Source organism: Homo sapiens, chromosome 20, assembly GCF_000001405.40.
Source record: "Homo sapiens chromosome 20, GRCh38.p14 Primary Assembly".
Lineage (NCBI taxonomy): Eukaryota > Metazoa > Chordata > Mammalia > Primates > Hominidae > Homo > Homo sapiens.
Genome location: NC_000020.11, coordinates 50,624,978 through 50,645,138, shown reverse-complemented (window position 1 = coordinate 50,645,138; position 20,161 = coordinate 50,624,978). Strand labels below are relative to the sequence as shown.

Below are 20,161 nucleotides of genomic sequence, written 5' to 3'. Positions count from 1 at the left end.
CAGGCGCAGTGGCTCATGCCTGTAATCCCAGCACTTTGGAAGGCTGAGGCAGGCGGATTGCCTGAGGTCAGGAGTTTGAGACCAGGCTGGTCAACATGATGAAACCCTGTCTCTACTAAAAATACAAAAAAATTAGCTGGGCTTGGTGGCGTGTGCTTGTAATCTCAGCTACTCGGGAGGCTGAGGCCGGGGAACTGCTTGAACCACGGAGGTGGAGGTTGCAATGAGCCAAGATTGCGCCCCTGCACTCCAGTCTGGGTGACAAGAGCGAAACTCCGTCTCAAAAAAAAAAAATAAAAAATAAAAAATAAATAAAAGGGCTGGGTGCAGTGGCTCACACCTGGAATCCCAACACTTCGGGAGGTTGAGGTTGAGGATCGCTTGAGCCCAGGAGTTTGAGAATAGTCTGGGCAACATGGTGAAACTCCGTCTCTACAAAAAAAAAAAAAAAAAAAAAAAAAAGCAAACAAAAAAAAACAAAACAGAAATTAGCCGGTCATGGTGGCACATGCCTGTAGTCCCAGCTACTCAGGAGACTGAGGTGGGAGGATTGCTTGAGCCCGGGAGGCAGAGGTAGCAGTGAGCCAAGATTGCACCACTGCACTCCAGCCTGGTGATAGGGCCAGATCTTGCCTCAAAGAAAAAAAAGAAAAGAAAAGAAATATGTACCAATCCAGGTTATAAAAAGTATTTCATGTTTATATTAAACAAATTAATGCATTTAACATGTATACATGTGCTCCTTGAGAAACTAAAGTGGTAATTTGTTTCTGTGCACAAGAAAAGACTAGAATTAACATATCTATTTTAGCAGTTATAAAATACTGTTTTTAGTGTCAAAAATGTGCCTTAAGAATTTTCGGTTGGGGTCAGGTGCAGTGGCTTATGCCTGTAATCCCGGCGCTTTGGGAGGCTGAGCTGGGAGGATTACATGAGGCCAGGAGTTCCAAACCAGCCTGGGCAATATAGTGACAAACTAAGGGACATTTTTATTTTTTATTTATTTTTAAATTTTTTTAGAGATGTGGTCTCATTCTGTTGCCCAGGCTGGAGTGCAGTGGCACAATCCTGGCTCACTGCAGCCTTGAACTCCTGGGCTCAAGAAATCCTCCTGCCTTAGCCTCCCAGCTGGGTGCGGTGGCTCACGCCTGTAATCCCAGCACCTTGGGAGGCTGAGGTGGGCGGATCACGAGGTCAGGAGATCGAGACCATCCTGGCTAACACGGTGAAACCCCATCTCTACTAAAAATACAAAAAATTAGCCGGGCACAGTGGCGGGCGCCTGTAGTCCCAGCTACTTGGGAGGCTGAGGCAGGAGAATGGCAGAATGGCGTGAACCCGGGAGGCGGAGCTTGCAGTGAGCCGAGATTGCACCACTGCACTCCAGCCTGGGCGACAGAGTGAGGCTCCATCTCAAAAAAAAAAAAAAAAAGAAAGAAAGAAAGAAATCCTCCTGCCTTAGCTGGGACTACAAGTACATACCACCATGCTCAGCTAATTTTTCAACATTTATTTTTAATTAAAACAATTTATTTATGAGTGACCATGACCCAAGACATAGCCTCAGGGGGTCCTGAGAACATGTGCCCAACTTTTTTTTTCACTTCTTGTAGAGATGGGTCTCTCTGTGTTGCCCAGGCTGGTCTCAAACTCCTGGCTTTAAGCGGTCTTCCCACCTCGGCCTCCCAAAGTGGTGGGATTTGGCCAGACATGGTGGCTCACAGCTGTAATCCCCACACTTTGGGAGGCCAAGGCGGGAGGATCACTTGAGGTCAGGAGTTTGAGACCAGCCTGGCCAAGATGGTGAAACCCCAACTCTACTAAAAAAAAAAAAAAAACACACACAAAAATTAGCCTGGCCTAGTGGTGCACACTTGTAGTCCTAGCTACTTGGGAGGCTGAGGCGGGAGAATCACTGGAGCCTGGAGGCAAAGGTTGCAGTGAGCCAAGATCCAGCCACTGCACTTCCGCCTGGGCGACAGAGCGAGACTCCATCTCAAAAAAAAAAAAAAAAGTGCTGAGATTACAGGCTTGAGCCACTGCATCCAGCCCTGATGGACATTTTTCTATTCTTTTTGGGTTTTTTTTTTGAGATGGAGTTTCGGTCTTGTTGCCCAGTCTGGAGTGCAATGGTGCAATCTCGGCTCACCGCAACCTCTGCCTCCCGGGTTCAAGCAATTCTCCTGCCTCAGCCTCCTGAGTAGCTGGGATTACAGGCATGTGCCACTACGCCCGGCTAATTTTGTATTTTTAGTAGAGACAGGGTTTCTCCATGTTGGTCAGGCTGGTCTCGAACTCCTGACCTCAGGTGATCTGCCCGCTTTGACCTCCCAAAGTGCTGGGGTTACAGGCGTGAGCCACAGCACCTGGCCTCTGATGGATTTTTTTTTTTTAAATCACTGTGGTAATCATGTGGGGCAGAGGGTGAGAGGGAGGCAGAGATTGGTCCTGGCGAGCAGGGGTGGAGGCAGGAAGGAGGGGACAAATTCACGGTATTTCTGAGGAGCAGTGGAATCTCTTGACTAAGGCCTCATGGGGGGAGGGGGGAGATGGAGACATACCCTGGGGGACTTTGCAGCCTGGCTGGGAAGACAAGCTTCTCCCCCAGGGAATTAAACACCAGTGGTTAACAGATTAGCAACTTAATCTTAGAGACCAGAAAGCAGTTTCCAAATTGTAAAACACAGAAGGAAAACCTGTGACGGATTTGGCCACATAAGTATTTGAAGCTTGTATCTCTCTCCCTGTTTCTCTCTCTCTCACACACACACACACACACACACACACACACACCCACAGAGAACAATTTAAGATTAAAAGGTGAGGGGCTGGGAGAAAACTGAGAAAGGATGGTCATCTAGGATTTATCAGCCGCTCCCAGCAATCAAGAAGAAGAAGGCAGATAACTGGACAAAGGAATAGGCACTGAAAATTCCCAGAAGAGGAGATTGGGAAGCCGGTAAACCTAAGGAAATGTGCTTAATCTCATTAGGAATCAGGAAAATGCAAAGTAAACAAAGCCCCACCCCTAAGAGTAGTAGCCAAATGTAAAGGAGGGAAGTGGGAGCAGGAGGAGCCTCTCCCCCTGGGATGGGGAGGAGCCGGCCAGGTTCTGCGGAAGCAGAAGGGGGTGGGTGTACTACTGCCATGGCGCAAACACACATCCAAGGGCTCTGCAGGGGGCCCCACCCTTACCCCCCAGACCATTTCTAGGAGTAGGGGCTGAACAGGACCCAGTGGAGGCTACCGCCCTGCATTGGGAGGGTTAAGTAAGAGGCTGAAGGTCAAGTGAGAGGTCCTGCCGGGCACTTCCAGCGGCTCTGTCTCAGCCAGGCCAGTGGCCATGCGGAACTGGGAGCAAGGAGAGTGGGAGATAAAACCCTCAGTTTCAGTGGTTTAGCGTGGGAAACGCTAAAGTGATCTGTGTAACACAGCTCCTGGGTGGGGAAGAGATGGGGAAGGAGCCTGTGGCCTGGAGGTGGCTGGGGACAGATTCCCAGGATGGCTGGAAGGGGTCAAGGGCAGGGCCGTGCTATGACTTCCCTGGGCACCGAGCATCTTGGCCTGCAGTGGCCCTTCCAATAAGAAATAGGACCAGGTGTGGGGCTCACACCTGTAGTCCCAGCTACTCATGAGGCTGAGGTGGGAGGACTGCTTCAGTCCAGGAGTTGGAGGCTGCAGTGAGCTATGATCACACCACTGCACCCTGGCCTGGGCCACATAGAGAGACCCTGTCTCTAAAGAAATTTTAAAAAAATTAGCCGGGTGCAGTGGCACATACCTGTAGTCCCAGCTACTCAGGAGGCGGAGATGGGAGGATCGCTTGAACCCAGGAGGTCAAGGCTGCAGTGAGCTGTGATCCCACCACTGCACTCCAGCCTGGGTGATAGAGTGAGCCCTGTCTCTCTCTCAGAAAAAAAAAGAAGTGAGCCGGACGTGGTGGCTCACGCCTGTAATCCCAGCACTTTGGGAGGCCGAGGCAGGCGGATTACCTGAGGTCAGGAGTTTGAGACCAGCCTGACCAACATGGAGAAAATCTGTCTCTACTAAAAATACAAAAAATTACCCAGGCGTGGTGGTGCATGCCTGTAATCCCAGCTACTCAGGAGGCTGAGGCAGGAGAATTGCTTGAACCCAGGAGGCAGATGTTGCGGTGAGCCGAGATTGCGCCATTGCACTCCAGCCTGGGCAAAAAGAGCAAAGCTCCGTCTCAAAAAAAAAAAAAAAAAAGAAGTGCATATTACAACTTGCTATAACAATGAATACATTACTCTTATATAATAACACATTTTCTTTGACCTAAAGAACATTTTTTTGCCTTCTGATCCTAGAAGTAATTCACATGTGTTCGTGGGCGCATGCGTGGGCCTGTGCGTCTAATGGAGAGGTCACTGCAGAAAGGAAGCTCAGGGTTCTCCCAGGCAGCGGCAGGGTGTGGAAGTCTTTCTTTGCCTTTTTGACCGTTTTGTAGAGGGAAGCTGCTCTGCTGTCCAGCCCTGCGGAGGGGGGCAGGGTCTGTGTCCCCGAGATGACAGAGGGTTGGGGGCAGTTCATTCCAGTGACCAGTGGTTGGCCGAAGAGTGCTTTGGAGTTCAGCCCACCTGGGTTTGAATTTACATCCTCCCCGCATGGAGCTAAGCCTGACCAGTGCGTGTGTTCACCAAGCTCAGGCGTCTTTTGTTTGTGTGTTTTTGGATGGAAAGGGGAAGCAGCCCTTCACCCGGTCTCTCCTCCCTTGCAGCCGTGCCACAGGGCCAGGGTTGCAATGAAGGCAGGTCTCAGGCAGGTCTCGGCTCTGCTCTGGCAAACGGGCCCCAGAGGTCTGAGGAATCCAGCCAGCTCCTCCAAGCTCATGTCCTTGGTCTCAGACCTACAGGCTTTGTGCACATCCTAGGCTGGTGACAGCATGTGTGTGTGTCACGGCTGGAGTGGCAGAGGCCCTGTGGGAGCCGCAGACCCAGGGCCGCTCCGTAGGTGTCAGGCTGTGTGGTCTGCCAGAGTCCCACACCTGTTCGTGTGAGGGGAAGGTGCCCGAGCAATACTGTAGCCAACCAAATACCATAGTGTCTTCAATACTACTCATTTCGCCCATGGAAAATTATGCCTAAGCCACCATACGGGTTAATGAACCCTCCAGCCCAGGTCCGAAGAGATGCCTTTAGCACAGGGACGTGTGGCAGTGTCTGGAGATGTGCCAGGCTGTCACAGGCTGTGCTCCTGGTGTGGGGACACTGCTGAACACACAGGACAGCCTCCACAGCAAAGCATTACATGCTGAGGTCCAGGGACCCTCCCATAACCAATTCCAGAGTGAGGGCTTCTGATTGGAGAGCCCCACTCTGCGTGTCCCTTAGTCACTCCTGGGACCTAGGTCAGGCGTACACACACCTGCACCACACTGCCTATACACAAGCACTTTACCTGTATTGTATTTATTTATTTTTGGCTCATGGTGTTGCCCAAGCTGGCCTCAAACTTCCTGGGCTCAAGTGCTCCTCCTGCCTCAGCCTCCCAGGTAGCTGGGACTACAGGTGAGTGCCACTGCACCTGGATTTTTATGCAGGCGTTTTGGTGAGTCATTGGAGGTACAATGCTACCAACTTGCCACTTCAGGTGGCTCCATCTCGAGCCTCAGCCTCCTGGTCTGTACAATGGTAACAGTGCCCTGCCCCCGGGGAGCTGTGGGGGTGAGTGAGAGGCTGTGTGTCCAGCCCAGTGTCCGGGGTTTAGAAAGAGGGGTTCTGCTCAGCGGGGGCAGAGCTCAGGCTTGAGGCCAGACTTCCTGGGTACCAGGAATTCAATGAGTGAATTCTTTGAGCAATGCCTGGCACTGCACAAGTCCTGTAGCCGTGTTGGGTACCACTGGCATTATTGCTGTTTTCAGGTTTTTTTTTTTTGAGTTGGAGTCTCGCTCTGTCACCCAGGCTAGAGTGCAGTGGCATAATCTTGGCTCACTGCAACCTCTGCCACCTGGGTTCAAGCAATTCTCCTGCCTCAGCTTCCCGAGTAGCTGGGATTACAGGCATGCACCACGACACCTGGCTAATTTCTGTGTTTTTAGTAGAGATGGGGTTTCACCATGTTGACCAGGCTGGTTTCAAACTCCTGACCTCAAGTTATCCACCCACCTTGGCCTCCCAAAGTGCTGGGATTATAGGCATGAGCCACTGCGCCCGGCCTGTTTCTAGTTTTTGACAGTTGAACAAAGGTGCTTGGCCTGGAATAGCCACCACCAGGTCACCTCACTCCCTCAGTGTCAGGGGTCTCTCTCCAGGCTCCAAATGCTCTCATCTCATCTCAGTCCCTCCTGCCTGTCCTCATCCTTATCACTGCTCCTACAGCTGGAGACCAGGGTGAGGCACGTTTGAGATGGGATTCCCAAGTCAGCCTGTGCTTCTTGGAGGCCCAGCTTCCCCCGCTCCCTCCCGCTACCCCATCTTTATCTTCCTTCATCCCCCACACCCCCACGCTCTCTTCCCTAGCCTGGGCAGGCCCCAGCTGCCTTCCCACCTGGCGCCCCGACACACAGCCACCCCACAGTGGCCTCAAAGGCTTCTTTCCCAAAGAGAGGCTTTGTCTTCAAGGTGACCCCTGGCTGACCCCTGGCATGGCTGGTGGGAGTGGTGACGAGGCAGTGATGGGGCCATTTGAATTAAAATGCCCTCTGGATAATTCAAAGAAATTCATGAGTCATCTTTATCTGGGAAAACCCCAATGGAGTGAGCTGGGACCCAGGGCTGCAGACTGATAGACAGAGGGAAGCGGCCTCCCTGGATCCCGGTCCTCACTCCCGTGCCTGCTGTTGACTATTCTGCGGTCAGGAGGCGTCCCTTTGCCTGCAGTCCTGGGACAGTGGAGCGCAGGGGACACTGGGGCTTCCCAAGGAGCTGCTTGTTCTTCTCTTAAATCACAAATCAGGGCACTCATTGTGTGTCTATCCGTCAGGCCGCTGTCCTCTGCAGAGACACCTTGGGTGTCCCCTCCTGGCTCCAGGTGGTTCTGGAGGATGGCAGAGCCAGGACCATGGGCTGCCCTGAAGCTGGTTCCAACCTGCTCTATTTAAACCAAGGGTCCTTTAAATTTGTCTCTTTTCATTTAAATATGCTCTTTAAAAACCAGCAGGCTGGGCATGGTGGCTCACACCATGTGGATCGCTTGAGGCCAGGAGTTTGAGACCAGCCTGGGTGACATAACAAGACCCATCTCTATAAAAATAATAATAATAATAATTTATGTATTTATTTATTTAAAAAAATTTTTTTTTGAGACGAAGTCTTGCTTTATCACCCAGGCTGGAGTGCAACGGTGTGATCTCAGCTAACTGCAACCTCCGCTTCCTGGGTTCAAGCAATTCTCCCGCTTCAGCCTCCTGAGTAGCTGGGATTACAGGAGCCCGCCACTACGCCTGGCTAATTTTTGTATTTTTAGTACAGATGGGGTTTCACCATGTTGGCCAGGCTGATCTTGAACTCCTGACCTCAGGTGATCCACCAGACTCAGCCTCCCAAAGTGCTGGGATTACAGGCGTGAGCCCATAATTATAGGAGTGTGCCTGGCCCCAAAAACTTTTTTTTAAAAAGACAGAAAAACCCCCTGCTCCCTGGAGCGAAGATTCTTGAGAAGCATACTTGATTAACTGATGAATAAGACAATCAGAACCATGAGTTATTTGAAGGATACGGGTGAGGGGCAAGTCCACGTTAGCCAAGGGGGTCAGGGAGGACCTCTCTGAGGAGGTGGCCTTGGTTGTGAGGCCTGCAAGCTGGGAGAGAGTGATAGGGAAGACCTGGGGGAAGGGAGGCGTGTGCCAGGCAGAGGACACAGCCAGGGCAAAGGCTGGAGGGGGGCTCCAGCTGAGGCCTGTGCTTTGGCAGGGAGGAGTAGTTTGGGTTCTTCTGGCTCTTCCAGTCGCCTTTGGGTGGTCCAGGCAAGTTGTGTGACCATCCTGGGCTTAGTCTTGACATCGGTAAAATGAGCGAGTTGGACTGTTGGACTCCACACTTTCTCGGGCCCCCTCTGGTACAGGCGAACTGGTTCCCAGAGAAGCCTCCTCGGGCGCCTGTCTGTCTTCTGTGTAAACTCACATTCCTCTTCCTGGGCTATTTTGCCATTTCCTTTCATGCGAAACCAAAGGAGCTATTTTGGAAACTCCTATAAACAAACTAAGCCCTAGCTGGCATTTGAGTGGATAAAAAGGAGCCCTAAGTGAGGGACTCAGGCATAAAAGCCACCCAGCCCCAAAAGCCCATAACGTTAAATTTAGATGTTTTACCTCTAAATGAGGTGAAATTGCAGGTTCCCTCTGGCTGGCGGTGGGGAGGAGACGCAGGGCAGCTTTGGCCAGCAGTGAGCGGACAGACTTAGCGGGAGTAGACTCTGCTTCCTCCAGCCACACCTTGGGGACGGAGGCCCAGGACAGTCCCCAGTGTCTGGGAGCATCTGGCTTCCTCTCCCTGCACACACCAGCCGGGTCTGAACGGCATCAGTTCTAAGTGCCAGGCCAGAGAGAGGCAGCGAGGGACACGGAGTAGAAGAGGCTGTCCTGTCTGCCACCAAAGGTTTGGGAACTGCATGACTCTGTGCCTCCCTTCTCTGCCCTGGGGCCCAGCAGGGTCTCTGCACTGTCTCTCATGCCTGCAGAGTGCTGGTTACCCAGGGCTGCCCTAAGCCACCCGAGCATTCCTCCTCTCTTCCTGATGCCTCCCCAGGGACCTCCTAGACCTGCCCACAATCCAGTAGCTAAAGGGTTAATGCCAGCCCCAGCAGGGGTGGTGACACATGGTGGGAGGGGACAGGGTCTTCAAGACCCTGCTCCAGCACCCAGCCTCCATTTGCTGCTGTGCCATTGCTTAAACATCAGGAATGTCACCCTTGGTCGCAGGTGACAAACTGGACTTGTCAGGAGCTGTCCGCTGAAGGCTCCTGAGATTGTGGGTCTCAGCCTGGCCATCCCATCCCCAATCATCCAGGGGGAGGTCTGTTTCTTTTACCACAAGAAACACTGCTTGGCTGGACTCCAAGTCAACGTCATGGATCAGCCCCACCAGGCCCAGCCGGGAGGGGGCGCAGCTGAGCTGCCTGGGAACTGTCGCGGTCCGCAGGCCCCAAGGGGGCCCACAGGGGCTGGGGCTGCAACACCCTGAAGCCAAAAGAGGTTGGGCTTGATTTTTCTCGGCCACCACCCAGGGCTATCTTTCTAGCTTGGCAGGTCCCCCTCCCAATCCTATTTCCATTCTGGGGCCTCTTCCCCGCTGGAGGAGGTCTGGCTCCTGGGAGGGGGGCGTGTCCTCAGCAGAGCTGCGGGAGCAAGCACAGCGGAGTCCCGAAGCCAGGCTTTGGAGTCCAGCGCGCCCCGGTCCAGTTTCAGCTCTGGCATTTCCTACCTGTGTGACCTCGGAGGACTCATTTCCGTCCTCTCTGAGCCTCGGTTTCCTTCTTTTCTTCCTTTCCTTTTTCCTTTCCTTCTTTCCTTCCTTTCCTTCTTTTGAGACAGGGTCTCACTGTGTTAGCCAGGCTGGAGTGGTGCAGTCTCAGCTCACTGCAGCCTCGACTTGCTGGGAGGTCTCTAATGATCCTCCCACCTCAGCCTGCCGCAGTAGCTCGACTACAGGTGCACGCCACCACATCTGGGTAATTTTTGTATTTTTTGTGGGGACCGGGTCTCACTATGAGACCCAGGCTGGTCTCGAACTCCTGGGCTCAAGTGATCCGCCCATCTCAGCCTCTCAAAGTGCTGGAATTATAGGCGTGAGTCGCCACGCCTGGCATGAGCCTCGGTTTCCTTATCTGCAAAATGGGGATAGTAATAGTACTTGTCTCATATGGTGTTGGGAGAATGAAATGAGAATTTTAAGTCCTCAGAGCAGGTAGCAGGCAGTGCTGGCTACCCAAGGGTCAGAGGCAGGGCCACCCATCATCCTCAACAGCTGCTGCAGCTTTTGTAAATAAAGTTTTACTGAAACACAGCCATGGCATAATTCCTTTACATAATGTCTGCAGCTGGTTTTGCTCTAAAATGCTAGAACTGAGTAGTTGTGACAAAAACTGTATGGCCTGAAAAACCAAAAATATCTACTATCTGGCTTTTTGTTTGTTTGTTTGTTTTTGAGATGGAGTCTAGCTCTGTTGTCCAGGCTGGAGTTTAGTGGCTTGATCTCGGCTCACTGCAACCTCTGCCTCCCGGATTCAGGTGATTCTCCTGCCTCAGCCTCCAGAGTAGCTGGGACTACAGGCATGCGCCACCACGCCCGGCTAATTTTTGTGTTTTTAGTAGAGACAGGGTTTCACCATGTTGTCCAGGCTGATCTTGAATTCTTGACCTCAGGTGATCCACCCACCTTGGCCTCCCAAAGTACTGGGATTACAGGTGTGAGCCACTGCGCTCAGCCTTTCTATCTGGCTTTTTACAGAAAACATTTGTCCATCTTTGCCTTAGAGTCTAGCACATAGTGGTTATTAGTATTAGTATTACTGTTATTATTCCAGCACCTTCCTCTTGGGCTGCACAGCCTGGTGAAGTAGGGGAAGCAGCGTCAACCTTTCCTTCATTGTTTTCTGGTTCAATAAAGATGTGTTATGAATCTTCCATGCACCTGGTCCCTGCCTGCAGGGAGCTCCCTGTCTAGGATGGAGAGATAGACAAGTCACCATTCACAGTCCACTATAACAGAGGAGGTCAGGGGCATCCAGAGGAAACACCAGACACAGCTAGGAGTGGGGAGGTGTCCAGGAAGGCTTCCTGGGGGAGGGGACATCTGGGCTGAAAGATGAGGAGGGTTTAGCCAGGAAGCCAATCCATGTGGCCATGGCACGTGGAAGAAGGAAGAGCCAGACTTCAGTTTGAAAAATGAGTGTCCTGGTCAGGCGCGGTGGCTCACGGCTATAATCCTAGCACTTTGGGAAGCTGAGGTGGGTGGATCGCTTGAGCTCAGGAGTTCGAGAACAGCCTGGACAACATGGCGAAACCCTATCTCTACAATGAATACAAAAATTAGCTGGGAATGGTGGTGTGTGCCTGTAGTCCCAGCCACGTGAAAGGCTGATGTGGGAGGATGGCTTGAGCCCAGCAGGTGGAGGTTGCAGTGAGCTGAGATCGTGTCACTGCACGCCAGCCTGGGCAATAGAGTCAGACCCTGTCTAAAAAAAAAAAAAAAAAAAAGAAAAGAAAGAAAGAAGGAAAAGGAAATAAAGAAAGAAATATGTGTGTCCCTGAGTCGCCTCTCACCTCTCAGAGCCTTTCTTTCCTCATATGAAAAATGGGGCCATTGAACCTCACAGTGCTATGAGTGATGAATCCGCTGTCAGGTTCTGCAGGTCTGCTCCGAGCCTTAGTTTCCCTCCTTCGTCGTCCTCTCTCTCACACTGAGCAGGAGGACCTGGGGCTTGTTTTGAGCTTTGCATCGGGAGGAACTGCTTAGCAATTGTCCTTCTCTCTGACCTTGAAGTGGAGTGACTGGGGTGAAGCTCCAGGAACGGCCCAGAAGGCTTCTGATGGGAAGGTGCAGAGGGAGGGGCCGGGGAAGCCCCTTCCGGCTCCAGTGCCCAGGCTGGCTCCGGAGTACGTCTCAACTACTCACCTTTGGGAATCCCTCCCTACTCCGTCCTTATTCTCTTGCCTGGCTTGGCTGGGGGGATCAAGCAGTTTGAGCAGCTTCTCAGGCCCTGCATAGGTGCTGATAGGGGTAACAGCAGTGAGGAGCTCATACGTGTTTAACAACCAGCAGACAGAAACCCTAACTTGTAGAACTTGCCGCTTTCTGTGGTGTAAATACGTTTACTGTGGCTGATTTCAAACCACCAACGTGATGTCAACAGGCTCACAAAATTCCTGAACATTTAACAATTGACTATTTTTTGTTTTTTGTTTTTTGTTTTTTTTAGTCAGAGTCTTGCTCTGTTGCCCAGGCTGGAGTGCAGTGGCATGATCTCAGCTCACTGCAACCTCCACCTCCCAGGTTCAAGTGATTCTCCTGCCTCAGCCTCCCGAGTAGCTGGGATTACAGGCGCCTGCCACCAAGCCTGGCTAATTTTTTGTATTTTAGTAGACGGGGCTTCACCATGTAGCCCAGGCTGGTCTTGAACTCCTGAGCTCAGGCAATCTGCCTGCTTCGGCCTCCCAAAGTGCTAGGATTACAGGTGTGAGCCACTGTGCCTGGCCCAGTTGACTGTTGGGAGCTGGTACAAGCTGGCTCAGCACAGCACAGGAGGGGACTGTAGGGGACCTCTTTATGGGGGCAGGGGCAAGGCCCCAGTGCAAGGCTCTCCTGACCGCAGGTAAGACAAGCTCTGACATCGGGCATCCTCGGGTTCTAAACCCAGTGCTCAGGTGCCCTGCTGGGGCTCCTGGGCTAGTCTCATCACCTCTCTGAGCCTCAGTTTCCTCATCTATGGAATTAGATCATCAAAAGCTCCTGCTCTTAAGAGGGTTGTATGGATTTCATAATTTACATAAAGCATTTAGTGCAGGGCCAGCTTAGTAATGAGCACTTGATGAATGATGCCTCAACTTCCCCATCTGTACACAGCACTGCTGGGCATGGGTTCATAGCTGTTCATGGATTCGTAGCCACTCATGGGGCACCAGGCTTGCCACACAGCGAGTGGTCAGCAAATGCTTGCCACCTTCCTCCATCCGGGCTAGAAGCCGCTCACTTCTCACTTGGCTCTCCCTGGGTCACCTGGCTTATCTGGGTCACCTGGCTCACCTGCAGAGCTGGGGTCTTAGCCAATTGCACAGAGACAGCCAGCTCTTCCGACATGTCTCTTGCACACTGTGGGCTCTCGGGACATGCTTTCCTTGGTCCTTCCAGCAGTCTCCGTGGGAGGTTCTTTCTGAATTCCCCTTTTACTCTTGTGATCACTGAGGCCCAGAGCCTGAGTGGCACAGTTGGGATTTGAGCCCAGGTCCACCTTCTTTGTTGCCAAGCTTTCCTATGTACGGCACATGTGGGGCTGTGGGGTGGGGGATATATGGGAGGAGGAGGCTTGTGGAGGCTGCACAGATCTGCCAGGAGGTGCAGTAGTAGATGCTGGGCAGATGTGGCTCGATACAGGAAGTTTTTCCAGGCAGAGACCCCCAAGTGAGCAGAGGTGTAGTGGGGTGGACTTGGCCCCTGGGGGAAAGAGATGTTGGAACATGGGGGTCTCATCGTGCAGGAAGATGAGGTGGACTGGAGCTTTTTCGTAGGTTTTGTCTGGGCAATGGGGTCCCTGGAATCCTTGGATTGACACCACCCTGGCAAAGGAGCAAAGTATGAAACTGTAGCAGCAGAGATTTAGGTTAGATATGAAGCAGAACTTTCCAGCTGCCCTTGCTGGAAGATGCTGACCTATATTCCCAAGGGATAGGGTGGCATTTTCTCAATCTAGAGATGGTTTGGAAAAAAGAGAAGACAGCCAGGGCTCGGGGTTGGCCCCATTGCAGGGCGGGTCGGAGACTGGGCAATGGATCGGGGTGGAAGCAGCCCTTGACACCAGCAGTCTGGCTTCATGTGAATTGGACTTTTCCACCCCCTGCTGAAAGCCCTCCCATGGCTCCCAGTCACCCTTGCCCCATTGTAAGGCCAAGCCCCTGCTTGGGGCTACCAATGCCTCTTGGGACCTGAGCCCTGCCGGCCTCTCTGACCTCGTCTTTAGCCCACTGAGCTTCTTGCTGTTTCTGGATGACACCAAGTCCCCTCATGCATCCTGGCCTTTGCCCAGGCTGTTCCCTCGGCCTTAGACACCCTTCCCCTTCACCCCACGTCAGCCTTCCTACTCAGCTCTTGGGCGCCTCTTCATGGCTGGGTCAGATTCCCCCTGGGACCCCCATAACTCCAGCATGGACTCTGTATCGTAACTGTTCGGCAGTAGGTGGGCCTCCCTGCTGGGCTGGAGCCCTTGAGGATGGGGGGACTTGGCCTGCCTTGCAGAGTTCACCTGTGTTAGGTGCTCAGGGAGGGCTGGAGGAGGGGAGAGGAGAAGCTCGGGGGGTGAGAGGGCTGTGTTCAGGAGGTGCTGTCCCCTTGCTCTGGGAGGCAGCATTGCCCGGCACTAAGGACCTGAGCACAGAGTGCAGAGTACAGACACCTGGGTTCGAATTCCATTCCCATCACTGTCCCCCATCAGGTCCCCTAACCTCATGGGACCTCAGCTTGCTGACCTGTGAGCTGGGCACAGTACCAGCCCCCACAACACTCTGGGGCCATTGTGAGGTCTGTAGGTGTTGGTGGAAGGTGGCTGGCCTGCGGACGGCACTCGCTGGATGGTGATGCCAGGCTGACTCTCCTGTCCTCTCCTTGCAGGTGACCACCATGTCGGTGAGGTTGCGGTTCCTGTCCCCTGGGGACACAGGGGCCGTGGGGGTCGTGGGCCGGAGCGCCTCCTTCGCAGGCTTCAGCAGTGCACAGAGCCGGAGGATCGCGTAAGTTCCCCCCGTGTCCTGTTTCGGGGTGCAGGGGTGGGGCTTGTTAATGGGCTGGGGAAGGGCAGGGTCATCCTCCTCCTGCTGCCAGAGACCCGAAGGCCCACTCTCAGGCCGGCTTGCAGCCCGAGAGAGACAGAGAGAGAGAGAGAGAGAGAGAGAGAGATTGAGATTGAGAGAGAGACAGAGAGACAGAGTTTCTTAGTGTTGGGATAAACCTATCATTTCCTTGAAACCTGAACAGTTATCATTTCAAAGTCTCCAGAAGTTGATCTGCCTGAGCTTAGCAGGTCCACTTGGCAGATAAAAAATCTGAGGCTCTGGCTGGGCACAGTGACTCACGCCTATAATCCCAGCACTTTGGGAGGCCGAGGCAGGAGGATCACTTGAGCCCAGGAACTCAAGACCAGCCTGGGCAACATAGCACAACCCAATCTCTACAAAAATTTTTTTGAAAAACCAGAAAATTGGGCTGGGCACGGTGGCTCATGCCTGTAATCCTAGCACTTTGGGAGTCCAAGGCGGGCGGATCACTTGAGGTCAGAAGTTGGAGACCACCCTGGCCAACACGGTGAAGCCCTGTCTCTACTAAAAATGCAAAAATTAGTTGGATGTGGTGGCACATGCCTGTAATCCCAGCTACTTGGAAAGCTGAGGTGGGAGGATTATTTGAACCCAGGAGGTGGAGGTTGCAGTGTACCGAGATCACACCACTGCACTCCAGCCTGGGTGACAGAGCAAGATGCCATCTCAAAAAAACCCACAAAAACACCAAAAAAGAAAAACCAAAAAACCAGAGGCTCAGATAGGTGGAGCCACTGGCCCAAGGTCACACAGCAAAACTGGCCCAGGGTTGGGTCTTCCACGGGCGGGGTTGGGAAGGAATGTTCTTCCTGTCTGGAAGACTAGGCAATGGGGCCACCTCTTCTGGCTCTGTGACCTGGGGCAAGTGACCTCACCTCTTCAGCCTTGTCTTCATCTGAACAATGGGAATTGTGGGTGCACCCTGCTCACGGGGCTGTCGGGAAGGAACCACGAGGGAGGCAGGGCCAGCAGCCGGTGCAGCTGGTGCTGTGGGGGGTTACCGGATGAGGGAGCAGGCTTGGCACAGATGGGCCTGGGGGGCAGCATTGACCCTGTGGCTGAGTTCCCTGGGGGTGCTGGCCGGGCCAGGCCCTGCCTGCTGCCCCGTCCTGTGTCTCCTCCGGCTTTAGGTACTAAGTCCCTGGGAGGAAGGTTGTTTCTGCTTCTGGAGGCCACAGCCCGATGAGCTCAGGCCTGCTGCCCCCTCGCTCCAGGGCCTCATGCCAGGCACTGTGCAAGCCCCCAGGGAACCATTTACGAGCAGGCAGGCCTGGGGACTGGGGCAGTTTATCGACATCCTGAAGGGGCCAAACCTCTGTCTGTCTGAGCCAACGGGGTGGACAGGTCGGGGTCCCCAGCCAGAGCAGAGTGCAGAACTCAGTAGGTCAGTGAGTCAGTCAACAATAAAATCCCACCATGCTCTTCCCCGACTTGAAACCCTGCAAAGATTCCCAACCTACTTAGAATAAACCCAGCGCCCTCCTGGCTAGAGGCCCCTGGGACCTGGCCCCAGCAGCCTACCTCCCTCCCCTCCCGGCCTCAGGGCCTCAGCACATGTGTGTCCTCCCGCTGGAGCTCCTACCCCACTCCTCCACCTCCAGTTCCCGTTGAATCACCTGCAGGCATTGGCTTCCTGCTAGGTCCTGGGGGAGGACCCCTGAGCTCCAGACCAGGCCAGGTCCCTCCTGTGTGTGCTCCCTGAGCTCCTTCCCAGGGGCATTTGCTGCGGGGATAGGACCCCACCTCCACCCCCCTGAGGTCAGCCCTCCCAGCTCACTAACCTTTCCCTGGGGGCTCCCTTCCCATGGGTGGTGGTGCCGGGACCCCAGGGTTAAGATCCTGGAGTGTCCCAGCTGGAAGCACCTTAGGAATCCCTGTTCACGCAGCAGATATTCACGGAGCACCTACTCTGGCCCTGTCCTGGGCTCTGGGGACAGACCCAGGCCCTGCTGTCCTGGGAGCTGATGGCAGCAAACAATAAGCCAGTGATAATTGAGACAGATCCAGCTGGTGGCAGTGCTGTGAGGGAACTGAACTGGGGGTGGGGGAGGGCACCCATGGTCTCCTGGGAGAGCCTGACGAGACAGGGGCATGGGGAGTGGAGGCAGGAAGGGACAGAAGAAGTGGATCTGCGCGTGTGCAGATGGGGGTGGGCCGGGAAGCCTTCGGCGGCGGGAGGCAGCTGCGAGTGCAGATGTCCTGGGTGGGAATGAGCTTTAAGGGACAGAAAGCAGGTGTGCGGCTGGCATGCGTGACAGCAGTCAGGGAGGGAGGAGGACCCTGCGGAGCCTCATGGGCTGCAGTGAGGCCTTGAGACACATTCTCAGTGGAGGGGAGCCTGGGAAGGGTTTAAGTTGATGCCCCAAGACGAGAAGAATTTGACCCAGGCTCCAGAGCAGTTAGTGCTCAGTGCCCCAACTCCAAGCCTCAGAGAACAGAAAGAGTGGGTGCTGCCTGAGAAAGGCACACAGCAGGCACTCCATAAGTGCTGCAAAGAGGGGGTTAAGTATAAACCGGCCAGGAAATGATGCTGTTTCTCAACTTAACCATTTCTGAGCTGCCTCTTCCTGGGCTTTATCAGAGTCCCCCACTTTCTTGCAGGGGTCTGTAATCAAGGCTGGGAAGGTCAGCTGTGCGGGTTACCTGGCCAGGGGGCCATCCGGCCCAGGTGACCCTCTCCCAGCTGTGTGCCCTGGAGTGGGGCTGGTCCACTGAAGCACTGTAGGGACCCTTGTGTGGTCTGGAAGGAGGGGTAGGGTCTGCAGACCCTGTACCCAAGGGCGGCTTCATGAGCGTGTAGCCTGTGCTCTGTACTTTGATTGAACGCTCTGCTGTTGTGCTCTAGAAATTTTTGTGGGTGTCATTCTGTCGCCCAGGTTGTAGTGCAGTGGTGCGATCTCGATTCACTGCAGCATTGACCTCCTTGGTTCAAATGATCCTCCCACCCCAGCCTCCCAAAATTTTTTTTTTTTTGAGACAGTTTCTCTCTCTCGCCCGGGCTGGAGTGCAATGGCGCGATCTTGGCTCACTGCAACCTCCGCCTCCCAGGTTCAAGTGATTCTCCTGCCTCAGCCTCCTGAGTAGCTGGGATTACAGGAGCGTGCCACCACGCCCGGCTAATTTTTGTATTTTTTTTTTTCTTTTGAGACAGAGTCTCGCTCTGTTGCCCAGGCTGGAGTGCAGTGGCATATTCTCGGCTCACTGCAACCTCCGCCTCCTGAGTTCAAGCAATTCTCCTGTCTCAGCCTCCTGAGTAGCTGGGATTACAGGTGTGCCTCACCATGCCAGTTAATTTTTTTTTTTTTTTGTATTTTTAGTAGAGACAGGGTTTCACCATATTGGTCAGGCTGGTCTCGAACTCCTGACCTCAGGTGATCCACCTGCCTCGGCCTCCCAGAATGCTGGGATTACAGGTGTGAGCCACTGTGCCTGGCACCAAATAGAAATTCTTAATACAATTTTTTTGTGTGTGTTTTGAGACAGAGTCTTGCTCTGTCACCCAGGTGTGCAGTGGTGCAATTTAGGCTCACTGCAAGCTCCACCTTCCAGGTTCAAGCAATTCTTCTGCCTCAGCCTCCTGAGTAGCTGGGACTACAGGCATGGGCCACCACACTGGCTATTTTTTTTTTTTTTTTTCTTGAGACGGACTTTTGCTCTTGTTGCCCAGGCTGGAGTGCAATGGCACAATCTCAGCTCACCATAACCTCCACTTGCCGGGTTCAAGTGATTCTCCTGCCTCAGCCTCCCGAGTAGCTGGGATCACAGGCATGTGCCACCATGCCCAGCTAATTTTTAGTAGAGACAGGGTTTCACCATGTTGGCCAGGCTGGTCTGGAACTCCTGACTTCAGGTGATCCACCCACCTCGGCCTCCCAAACTGCTGGGATTACAGACGTGAGCCACCGCGCCTGGCCCAAAATTCTTGATAAATTTTGAATAAAGAGCCTTGCATTTTTATTTCGCACTAGACCCCACAAATTTCACAACTGGCCCTGCCTGCAGCTCTCCTCCTGCCAGGCCTGTGGGGGCCTCTGAATGTCCTGCATCCATGGGACATGTCCCCTCAGGCCCTAGAGGGGAGCTCTGCCCAGAGAGTGCCCCCACGGTAGGCCTCTGCCTCTCGTTGGCCCCTTCCTGGATTCCTGGGATCAGCTCTTTGGGAGGAAGGAGGACAGAGGTGATCCATCCCCTTGACACCAGGGCTCGCTGGCCGTCAGCAAGGGTCCCACAGTGTCCAAGTCCTAGTCTAGGAAAGACAGCCCTGATGGCTCTAATATCTCAGACCCCTCCTGTCCCCCATCTGATTGTCAAGGATGCCAGAGGATGCTGGGCCTGGGCTGGTTCGGAGGTCCCTGGGCAGCCCCCACCTGGCCTTGGCCTCTGCCGCCCCCTTGTGTGAGGGCAAGGAAGAAGCTGCCCACACCGACGGGGAAGCGGTGCATCTATTTTTAACTTCCTGTCTCCGTCGAGCTCCCTGGGGTCTGAACCCTTGGAGCCAGGGCTGGAGCCTGATTGGGTTTCAGGCCCCACCTTCTGGCCTTGTTCCCTGGTAACCCGAGCAGGCCGAAGCGCAGCCGCACTGTCAAGGCAAACAACCTGGCAGGAGGGCAGGGCTCTGCATGGAGAGGGTGGGCTGATGCCCCTTCTCTTCCCATCACCACCTTGACCCCTACTCTGGCACCTTGAAACCCCTTTCACTATAGACAGGGATTTTTACTCCACAGTCAGATGGCTCACTTGGGGAAGTAACCTGGTGGGGAAATTTTATACTAAGGTGTGAATGATTGACATAATAAGGCCATTTCCCAAGAGCTGGACCTGGGGGGTGGGAGGATAGAGAGATGAGAGGATAAACAGTGAGGATGAAGGAGGAGAGGGCCAGGCCCCGATACTGTCCTACTCTGCCCCAGTTGACAGGCATGGTTGCCCTTCCCCCTTTCCTGCCCCTCCTCAGCCAGGTCTCCCTCCCCCAGGCAGTCAGGCAGGTACTCCCCGAGCCAGGAGCCACTGGGACATCCTCCTCAGCTTGGGAATTCCTCTGTTGGGATGGCTAAGAAGTGTGGGTGTGAAAACGAAATAGCAGCCATTAAGTTTCAAGGAGAGGAGGCTGGAGAAAGAGGCGGCTCATATCCAGCCCTGCCTGTGAAGCTGTCAAGCACACAGACTCTGGAGCCAGAGGCGAGTGATGCAAGTTCAGTTTCCTGGACGGTACCAGGGGGCCTGACCTCAAAGACTGTGTCAGGAGAAATGAGTCCATACATGTAAAGCACCAAGAGCAGGCCAGGCGGGCGTGGTGGCTCACGCCTGCAATCCCAGCACTTTGGGAGGCCAAGGCAGGCGGATCACTTGAGCTCAGGAATTCAAGACCAGCCTGGGCAACATGGTGAAACCCTGTCTCCACCAAAACTACAAAAAATTAGCCGAGTGTAATTGTGCACTCCTGTGGTCCCAGCTACTCAGGAGGCTGAGGTGGGAGGATCACTTGAGCCCAGGAGGCGGAGGCTACAGTGAGCTGAGATCACGCTACTGCATTCCAGCCTGGGAGACAGAGCAAGACCTTGTCTCAATTAAAAAAAAAAAAAACAAAAGCACTGAGAGCAGAATTTGAGCTTGGCAAGTGCCGAGTGCATGCCTGTCATCATCACCCAGTGGCCAGCACCGCCAGGCACCTGGGTA

General features: G+C 53.7%; 1 protein-coding gene across 12 annotated transcripts in view, besides 4 other annotated features; it reads left to right on the top strand.

The window, feature by feature from the left end:
* RIPOR3 (RIPOR family member 3) overlaps positions 1 to 20,161 on the top strand; it is a 105,435-nt gene that overhangs the window by 46,404 nt on the left and 38,870 nt on the right. For 11 of the 12 annotated variants that reach the window (NR_110890.2, XR_936505.3, XR_936506.4 and 8 more), the window contains one exon: positions 14,283 to 14,401. Coding sequence is in view for 9 of the 12 variants with exons in the window: in XM_006723713.5 (XP_006723776.1) it covers positions 14,283 to 14,401 (119 nt within the window). In the remaining 3 variants the exon portion in view is untranslated. Of the gene's footprint in view, positions 1 to 8,345; positions 8,559 to 14,282; positions 14,402 to 20,161 lie in introns of those variants that run through there. The other variant, NM_080829.4, reaches the window with a different exon arrangement.
* Positions 60 to 641: an enhancer, noted in NCBI's record as "NANOG-H3K27ac-H3K4me1 hESC enhancer chr20:49261035-49261616 (GRCh37/hg19 assembly coordinates)". NCBI's record gives its function as "activates a minimal SCP1, AML or CMV promoter by ChIP-STARR-seq in naive H9 embryonic stem cells {active_cell/tissue: H9 hESC(naive)}" and the evidence as "EXISTENCE:reporter gene assay evidence [ECO:0000049][PMID:30033119]".
* Positions 4,236 to 4,931: an enhancer, noted in NCBI's record as "H3K27ac-H3K4me1 hESC enhancer chr20:49256745-49257440 (GRCh37/hg19 assembly coordinates)". NCBI's record gives its function as "activates a minimal SCP1, AML or CMV promoter by ChIP-STARR-seq in naive H9 embryonic stem cells {active_cell/tissue: H9 hESC(naive)}" and the evidence as "EXISTENCE:reporter gene assay evidence [ECO:0000049][PMID:30033119]".
* Positions 15,701 to 16,298: an enhancer, noted in NCBI's record as "H3K4me1 hESC enhancer chr20:49245378-49245975 (GRCh37/hg19 assembly coordinates)". NCBI's record gives its function as "activates a minimal SCP1, AML or CMV promoter by ChIP-STARR-seq in primed H9 embryonic stem cells {active_cell/tissue: H9 hESC(primed)}" and the evidence as "EXISTENCE:reporter gene assay evidence [ECO:0000049][PMID:30033119]".
* Positions 19,174 to 20,135: an enhancer, noted in NCBI's record as "H3K27ac-H3K4me1 hESC enhancer chr20:49241541-49242502 (GRCh37/hg19 assembly coordinates)". NCBI's record gives its function as "activates a minimal SCP1, AML or CMV promoter by ChIP-STARR-seq in naive H9 embryonic stem cells {active_cell/tissue: H9 hESC(naive)}" and the evidence as "EXISTENCE:reporter gene assay evidence [ECO:0000049][PMID:30033119]".